Genomic DNA, 9,847 nt, shown 5'->3' with positions numbered 1-9,847 from the left:
TTAATCCCTTCTCTGGTCTCCAGTGTGGGAGGATTTTATCCAGAGAATGAGTTATAAAGCAAGCAATAAAAAGTAAGCACATTTCTAAACACATGAAGCCTTCACCTCCTGTCCATGGGCTCACCCTCCCTGCATAGCCTAAAACTGACTAAGAGATGTGGCCATGATGTCAGCTGACATCTGAAAACACTGCCTTCCATTTGCCTCCATGAGAAGCGAGATGATCATGAGCTAAGACCTCGGTCTGGTGCCCAGCATGGATCCTGGTTCATCGGAACAGTCCAAGCCTTCAGATCCCCTTCTCTGCCAAGCCTGCTTTTCTCTGTGACCCCCGACCCTGTCAGGGTGGGAAGTCTGACAAAAGCGTTAGGCGCACCGCAGCTCAGGCACACAGGTCTCAGGACCCCAGGCTTTCAGAGCCGGACGGACGTCCTCAGACACGGAGTCCTTTCCACTCTCACACGGGACAGCCGAAAGCACCCACTGCAGAGGCAGCCATAGAGGGTACTTCTGCCAAGGCCAGTCTGTCCTCTGGATATCAGATCGGCATCTAATAGATTAGAGTGTGGCAGGGCCGGACCACTATCACAGCACTCCTCTAAAAGCAGTGCTAAAATGCGCTGGATTGTTTTCATTTGTCAAGGATTTTGCTTTAATTTTCTAACACGCTAGGCTTTTCTTTTCCTCTCTAACCCTTTCCAAATGTGGGTGGGGGGGTGGGATGTACAGGCGTCACCTGTCCTGGCCCTGCTTAAGAGGGGGTGCTTCTTGTGGGGGACTGTGAGGCAAATAGGAGGAAGGAGGAAAGGGCCTTTAGGAGCTGCTCCCTATCCTGCAGGAGTCTCTGGAGTCTGCGCGGGGCCGGGTCGTGAACGCCGCGCCACCGTCCAAGCGCTCTGCGTTCAGTGCTCACTCCAAAAAAGGAAACCCTCAAAGAAAGTCCTGCGGGTGCGTGTATTGGAAAGCGGAGTGACAGAGCGAGCCACTGAGGCCAGAGCCCCGCAGACACCGAGCTCTTTATTTACCTGGGGCTCTGACTAACCGGAGACGCGGCGCTGCCCACTTTCCGATAAGGTGACTAAGGGCGTCCTGCCTGGGCTTGAAGCTGCAGCCCTGTTTCCCCTCCGCATGCCCGCGCGCCTCCCGGCCGCCCCTCCCGCGCAGGGCTCGGGTGGGTGTTCCGCAGGGCAGGATGCCCGTCGGGAGCAGAGGAAACAAAGCTGCTCCAGCGCGCGCCGCCCGGGCAGCCGCGTGGCAAGTCTCTGCACCGCGGCTCCCTCCGACATGCCCGAGCCTTCTAGGGAGCCCCGCGCCTCCCGGCCGGGCGGTGGCGGCGCGCGGGGCCCACGCTCTGAGGAGGGCGGGGCCGGGGAGGGCGTGCGGGGACTTTCATGGGGACCCCCAGGCGGACGCCAAGGGGGTGTTTAGCCGGGGGCGAAGCTTGGGCATTCCATGCATTTACATTCTTCCCGAGGAAGGCAGGTGCCCTTGAGAGCCTTCCTAGGCATTCTTGGTGCTGAGCGGCCCCCCACGGCCACTCTTGCTCCCTGTGCACTCTGCATGCGTCTCTGTGCACACCTTCATCTTCACACGCAGCACACGCGCCCCTCGAAACTGAAGGGCAAAGTCTCGCTTAAAACTCATGGACCAGCCAAATCGCATTTTTCCTTTTCCCCACCCCTGAAGATAATTTGGAACATCATGAGAACTGGGTAGCAGATATAAAGATCAGAGCAGTTAGTCAACTGGGCCTCTTACCGCGTTTATTAACTAGCTTCTAAATAACTTGGCTTTAGCATGAGCTACATGTATTTCTTTAAAAATCCACCTTTTAAAAGCTCTTCATAGGATTCCTGTGAGGTTGGCAAGGAAAGAACAGGTATTATCTCCAGTTTGTGAATAGAAAAGTTGAGGCTCAAAGAGGTAACACTTGTTTGTCTGGCAATATTTCACACGTGCCTAGTAAAGGCAGGCATGAAACATCCCCCTCACTGGGGTGCCCCAGAGCTGAATTCCATGGAAACTGTTGACTCCAGCCCACCACAGTTCAGTGGAGAACGTCTCTGTCAGTGTTACAGGGCTCTGCTGCAGGACGTTTGACTTAGAAACGGATGCACAGCATCCAAACACCCCTGCAGCTCACCTGGAATCCCTGCTCCCACCTCCCGGGCCCCCACCAGCTGTCTCCACAGCCCTAACATTATTTTCTGGCCAGGGCCATCCGGGGACCCCCACCCCTTCCCGCCTTCTCACTTGGCTCCTGCAGGCGTCTGGTCCTGGGAATGCTTAGGGCGCTGCCCAGCTTCCAGAAGGTCCACCTGTGCCCTGCCTCCCTTCCCACTTCCCCGTCCACTGCTGGTGCCACTGGAATCTGGTGCTCTGGACAACTGCAAATAAGGTCTCGCTATGCTATGGATTAAACGGGAATGCATGGGCTAACCTAGGAGGACAGCCACAACCAATAACATCATTTCTATGAGAAAATGAATTCTGCTTCCAAACAACCAATTTACAAATTCACTTTGGGATGCTGACGTGTTCATAAGTTGCAGAATCCCTGTGATAGAACCTGAATGAATAACTATTTTGTTCAGCAAAGTTGACTGCTTATTAAATATTACTTGTTGAAAAGAAAGCCCTGCCATTAAAAAGGCAAATAGTGTATTTCCTTTGCAAATTCTTCTTTGGGCTGTTTTCATGCGAAACCAGATCTCTGTCACTCTGTTTCCCTCTCGCATCTTGAACTGAAAAATCAATAGCTTGTTGTTGATTTTAAAACTTATGGCCGGGCAAGGTGGCTCACACCTGTAATCCCAGCATCTTGGGAGGCTGAGGCGGGTGGATCACTTGAGGTCAGGAGTTTGTGACCAGCCTGGCCAATATGATGAAACTCTGTCTCTACTAAAAATGCAAAAATTAGCCAGGCACGGTGGCTGGCGCCTGTAATCCCAGCTACTCTGGAGGCTGAAGCAGGAGACTCGCTTCAACGCGGGAGGCGGAGGTTGCAGTGAGCCGAAATCACCACTGCACTCCAGCCTGGGCAACACAGTGAGACTCTGTTTAAAAAAAAAAAAATACTTATCAGGCACCAACTTGCTTATTACATAAGCCGAGCATTTTTTATATGCTTCTTGGGCAGGAACAGAGAAAAACTGGAAATACAAAGTCCCCTTAGTGGCAAGTTATGACAAAAGAGCTGGAGTTGAATATTCATGGGAAGATTTTGCCCTGCAAATCCTACAAAGTTTCATCCATTAAGTAACTACACGTGTGACATATCCAGAGGTCTGTTGAACCTCAGGGAGTTTCTACCTGGCTACTGCAAATACAACTGGCTGCAGGAGCCATGGGCATGAGAAATCATGGGCCAGGTGCCAGAGAGGCATACACCTGCTCTTGCCAAACTAAGAACTGCTCAGTCACGTGGGATAGCAAGAAAGCATCTTGGAGACTTGAACAGAACTGAGGAAGATGGAAGATCCATTGTATTTGAACAAATTTGATCAGTTTCCTGAAGGCAGCCAATTCTTACAAGCAGTAAATCCAGTACAAAGCCTGAGGAAATTAACTTTGGTTTTACTCAAGAAAAAAAAATACAAAAATAAGAACCCGTTCTGCAAACTCTAAAGATGTCAAATGCAACATAAGTTTTAGAAATGTACTGAGAGTATTTTTTCCCCACTGTAATAAGGGAAATTATGTCAGGCTGACACTAATGTCATCAGCACTGATGCATTGCTTTGTACCAACTACTGTAATCTGCCACTCATTAGAAAATTCAACGGCATGGTGACCAGTACACTCTAATTCCCCAGCTCCATGGTCTCTTGCAAACTAAAAGGGAAGGCAGCTCTGCAAGGAGGAAGCACTGGGTGTCTTTAATCTTCTCTGGGTTTTTCTTTAAAAAAATAAATAAATAAAGTTTGTTCTTAGTGTTACTATTTAGAAAAATTTTTTAGCAACATATGGACACAGCTGTTTGCCTTTGGTATAGTTTTGAAAATGAAGTAAATTACATTTTCCTTCAAAAGGGGGCAACTTTCTAGTCTTCTGTTAAAGCAGAAGTCAAATAATTACAAATTGATAATAAACATGTCTAGAACTGTCTTCTCCAACCTAAAATACAAGAGATACTGTCCATGACCTCCGCTCTTATTTGGTCTTTCATTTTCTTAGGAGAGAACTTTCATATGTTCCAAAGTATGAATTTAATGCATAAACACCTTCTAGGTTTCAGTACTCTTCATTTAGTTTGAAAAACAAGAAGGAAATAAATGAAAATAGTCCCAATTTGAATTGCTCACTCTATATGTAGGAAACAAAAATTGCTATAAGGCAGTCTATTGACTGTGTAACAATAAAAAGGACAGTAACTCTATTAAAATTAGTTGTCTAGGGCAATGAATGTGGAAAATTTGATCTGTTTTCCACCTTTAAAACATCATTTTATATATATATATATGAAATGTATATAATTACATATAATATATATAAAAGATATGTGTGTATGTGTATATATATATCTATATATGCCTTTAAATATATGGCAGTGCCGTCTAATAGGACCTTTGCAGTAATGAAAGCACTCCATAATGCATACTGTCCACTGTTGTACCCATTAGCCACAAGTGATGATTGAGCATGTGAAAAGTGGCTAGTCCAAACAAAGAATTAAATTTTTAATTTAATTCCATTTTAATGTATTTAAAATTAAACAGCCACATGTGGCTAGTGGCTACCGTGTTGGAGAATTCATCTTTATAGTACAATAGGGCAACAAAAGGGATTAAAATGTGATTGGTCTGAGTGTCAAAAAACCCTATATAGAAGAGGTGTGAGGTGGAGGTGGGGGTGGGGACAGAGCAAATAAGGTTAGCAAGCCCTTCTTGAATACTCACCATGCAGGGGGACTGAAGGTGCCCTCAGGGGCAGACCTTGCCCAAAGCACAACCAAGAGATGGTGTTTCACCAGCGCAGAGCTTAATTACGAAGCCTCAAGGATGGAAAGGAGATCACAAGACAATACCTTATAATTTGCCAAACAAAATAAGTAGGTGGGAAGAAGATCAGGATCACTTTGGGTTCAAAAATCCCAGAAGAGTTGAGGAGGTGATGACCAGTGAAGATGTGTGGGAGGGGCCTCCAGGGGAGTAGAACAAAGCAGTGTGAGCCCAGCACAGAGAGGAGAGCCGAGGGGGCCTTGGCGGAGGTGAGAGGTGGCTGGGGGTGCAGGGTCTGGGATGCTAATCTGGACATTGGGACATTTCTCCTGCCACCATTTGAAAAGCATGAGGTGTATCTTTTGAGAAACGTGTATCTACTATAATAGCTGCTGGTGGATTTACAGAAAGTGCCAGGGTGTTTTTCATGACAGGCTCTGAGGAGCTAGTTTCCTATTCTGCCTCATTTAGCAGATTAAAAATGGCACAATACCCATTGATAAAAGGAAACATTCTCTATGTTTCAGTGTGTGTGGAGTCCTCCTAAGGCCACTCTCATTTTTCCCATAGCCTTCCTTCTCTTACATATTCTTTTGTTACTACTTTATCCGCCTATATAATTGAGGTCCTGTTTCAAAACTGTCCTGGATGCTATGATAACTAAAGTTCTCTTGTTAGAATTGGACAATGTGTATAAAAATCTTACAGATAGAAGTCCTTCAGGCGAAAGAAGGAGGAGAGAGTTAACATGTACCAAACACCTACCCTGGGGTACATGCTGGGCCTGGCATGGTATGTGTGAACACAGCATCATGTATTCCAGGACCATAAGGAAAACACCTAACCTTCCACATTAAAGCAAAAACAAAAACAAAAAATAAGCAGCTTGTCCAAGGACACAGCGCTCACTAGGAGCAAAGCTGGGGCTGGAACTCAAATTAATTGGGGAGCTCCTGCAGCTCCAGGAGCTTCAGCAAAGCCGGGGCTTCTCTGGTGCTCACTTCTAGGATAGCTGTAATGTGAACCTACAGGGTGGGGATGAGTACACTTCCCAATCACACACCACCAGGGTGCTGCCAGGACCATGGAAGCCCTGCTCCCGGGGCCCCTCAGGCCTCTGCCTTCCAGGGAGACAGTCAGAGTGGCAGAAAACAACACAGGCAGTTGTGGGGCCTCCAGTGAATTCCATGAAGGTAATTGGCTTTTTATTCTAGTGTCATCTGAATTCTTTAAAATAGTTTTCTTGAATAGATGGTGGAACAAACCTCAGTGCTTTTCAATAGGAACCGCCTGAATCTCTGCCTTTCGTGCCCTAACTGCCTCCCAGGTAACTGGAATGTGAGGCTGAGGTGACACCCGTACCCCTTCCCTCAGGCAGGGCAGCAGAGCTGGTTTCCTACTTTCAAGCTCTAATTCAGACCTAGAAGACATCTTGCCAGCAGGGCGGGCCCATCCTCCCCATCCCGGAGCACAGGCGAGGTGCTGCCTGCAGCACGCGCTGCCGCCAGTGACCACGCTCTCAGGAATGCAGACACCTGCAAGAGCAGGAACGGAAAACAACAGTCACCTGTCCCACCTGATCTGCCCAGGTGGGCGGGGGCATGGGGCTTGGGGCTGGTCAGGACTTGGAGCTAGGCTCCTGCCTGTGGACAGGAGGAAGGGGAAGGCTGCATCTGCAGGTGTGGAATGCCAGACCGACCCAGCCTGATGGCCTCGACCAGGTGGGAGAGGGGCACGCTCCTCTTTTGTGACCCTCTTGCATCATGATATCACAACGACCAAAGGTGGCCTCCAGGACAATAATCTGTTGTGGGCTTGTTTGAACACTGATGCCATTTTGCTTACCTGGAAAGCCCTGCTCTGTCATTCCCAAGGAGTCAGGCTTAAGGGCTTCATCCTTTTAGTAAATGGTGGAAGCAGAGCTAAAACAAAGGGGAAAGAGTGATGTTACTGTTCTACCCTTCACCTTGCTCCGCCAGTACACTGATGGCAGAGCTCTTCCTCTTGTAAAAACAGTACTCAGGCCAAAAAATACATATATACATGTGTGTACACACACACACACACACACACACAAAGACATGCATATCCATACGTACATACTCACATTCATACACACTCACACACGCATGCATAGACATATGCACATACACACGTACATGCATACACTTGTATACAGACATACACATGCACATACACATACACATATATTCACACAAACACTTGTATACACACATATACATGCATACACACATAGACACACCCACACCCATATACATATATTACGCAAACTCACCAACCACACACACACACTGCACATGCTTATGTATAGACCTTGCCCAGCCCCAGGTGCATTTCCCAAAGGTGCCATCACTTGCATGGAAGAGGAAAGAAGGAGGGCTGTGTGGAGACATCCCACTAGAAGCTAGGTGGAGGAGGGATGAAGAGGGAAGGCATCCTCCCCACCCATGCCACAGGGCACCCTGACTTGGTGGCAGCAGATCCCAGACCCAAGGGCGAGGCTGTGCACTGCATGCCCTGGCTCCAGTCACTGTCCCAATAGGTGGAGCTGAGACCCCTCAGGCTGTGCCCTGATGGTTCTGGGGACCCTGCATCACCTTCAACCTATCATACCCTCCTGCAAGCAAGCCCTCAGAACAAAGCTGCCCACCAGGCAACATGTAGACTCCACGTCTCCTTTAGACACTGCTATCAACATAACCTTTGCATGAACTTGAGTGCTGCCTTTACTTTTCATTCTTTTTCTCAGTGATTTCTTGAACAAATCATTATGCTGGTAAAATGTCAAATGCTGTTTTCCTTGGCAGATACAGAGCCTGGGGGGAGGTGGGAGAGAAAGCAACATTTCTAGCACCCTTTTTAAACATTGCGGGGGATAATTGGGACATTAAACAAGACAGTCACTAAGCGGGGACACTCAGGGGGGCCTGTCAGCCACAGCAGGCACATTTCCCTGTCACTCAGGGACGCCAGCGCCTGCTTCCTTCCCCCGTTGCCGCAGGACTCCTCAAGGAAGTGCTGACCCTACACAGACCATTTGTTCTTAAAAAACTGAAATCGCTGGAAGCCAACAAAGCAAGTCTGAAAATGGCTGAGAAGAGGCGAACTCCAGCCCTGCCCTAAGTGGCCCTGGAAACCTCCACATTGGTGCCATGCCTGGAGGCAGAGTGGATTTCTCTGAGAGTTTGCCTGCTTGTGGAATAAACCAGGGCATTGTCTCCTGCTTACCCTAGGCTCTCTGATCCCTGCCTCAAGGAACTGCAGTAATTTTCTGGCCCTCTGCTTCTGCAGGAATCCTTTCTATTAGAATTTGCATTGCTATGAACATGTTGAAAATCTCTTCTCATTCCCCCTTTGACAATTCAAGTGCAAAGTCTGTCATGGAAATACTGTTGAAGACTCTTCTCTTTTGCGTTGGCAGGGCACACTCTGCCATCTGAAAAGAAGAGCATCCTGGCCATTCTCCACATGCACCATGTGGGGCTGAAGGGGCCTAAAGAAGAGATTTTCTCACACTGGATGCTTTGTCCTCCTCTGACTCCAACAGCCCACAAAATCTTCCAGGAAAACTCTTTTCAGTACCACTTCCCTGCTGCCAGTTGCAGTGGGTGCATCCACTTGAGGGGATGTTCCTAAGGAGGCAGGGCATTAAACCTTGCTTGAGCACAGCCCCTTGCATGGGAGGCACAGCTATGAACATCACAGTAAGAAGCAGTGCTCACCAGGACTCACTGCAGCTCCTGCAAAGTGCTGCCATGAGCTTCTCAAAACCCCATAAGCATGAGTGTGATGCTGGCAGGAAGCCCCAGGCTTCTCTTTTATGGCATCCGCTCTGGGGAGTAGGACCCTTTTTCTTTGTCTCTTAAAGGTAACTGCAAACCCTTAGAAAAGAAGAGAGGACTATAGGACCTTCCTCCTGGAACATGCTTGAATTCACCAGGCACGTGTACAGAAGATCACTAGTAACCAACATGAATATGGTTCTTTAAGATACACAAAGCAGGCTTACAAGCACCTTCTCCTTCTTCAGGACTTCAGAATTCACCTTCGCCTCTCCTCTCCCAAGCTGTTTCTCTACCTGGATACTGGTATCAGTGGGATGGCCATATCAAAGCAGTTTCAACATTCTAAGTTCTTCCAGGGAAGCCAACTGCAGTGCTCAAAGATTAGGAACATTTTTTTCTCTGCCACCTGTTCACCCTGCAATGCTCACAGAAAAGGGGCAGCATCTACTTAGCCTCTGCTGCATGGAGACACCATTACAACAGGACCGAGTTGATCCTTCTGTATCCCGCTGTAAGAAGAGCAATGCAGAAATGCCTTCCAGGACACCCAAAGCTGGGCTCCACCTGCGTGGAGATCACAGTGCTCATCGAAGCAATAAAACAAATAACACCTGAGGCACCCAACACTGAGCTGTGACATCCAGCCCTGTGCTTCACACCCCACTAATCAAAGATGGTTTTTGCAAAAGCAAGAAGGCATCAGCTGTGACATGCCACACCGTGCTGTGAGCCGAACACAGACACACTGGCTTGTGGACCAGCAGCTCCAGCATCTCTCAAGACACACACTCTGTGAGCGGCCCCACACCCCAAGTGCCCTCCTTGAAAAGCACCATGATGCCACCTTGGACACCCCACATTACTCTACACCATGCTCGCCCTGTGGCCACCGAGTAGCAGTACAGCCTCCATGGGACACTCCGCACTGAGCTCTGCACCCTCCCAACTGAGGGGATAGATGGAATGAACAGCATGCATCCCCTAACAGTTTCTTCAAGTCACCAGGGACACCTAACACCGTGCTTTATTAGTCAGTGTCCTCCAGAGAAATGGAAACAAGGGATATGTAGAGAGAGAGTTAGATTTATTTTAAGGAATTTG

The 9,847-nt window shown here is 48.3% G+C and overlaps 1 annotated feature.

Moving 5' to 3' along the window:
• Positions 6,427 to 7,014: an enhancer, noted in NCBI's record as "H3K4me1 hESC enhancer chr8:49777111-49777698 (GRCh37/hg19 assembly coordinates)". NCBI's record gives its function as "activates a minimal SCP1, AML or CMV promoter by ChIP-STARR-seq in naive H9 embryonic stem cells {active_cell/tissue: H9 hESC(naive)}" and the evidence as "EXISTENCE:reporter gene assay evidence [ECO:0000049][PMID:30033119]".

Source organism: Homo sapiens, chromosome 8 (assembly GCF_000001405.40).
Source record: "Homo sapiens chromosome 8, GRCh38.p14 Primary Assembly".
In the NCBI taxonomy this organism is placed as follows: Eukaryota; Metazoa; Chordata; class Mammalia; order Primates; family Hominidae; genus Homo; species Homo sapiens.
This window is presented reverse-complemented; position numbering and strand designations above follow the sequence as displayed.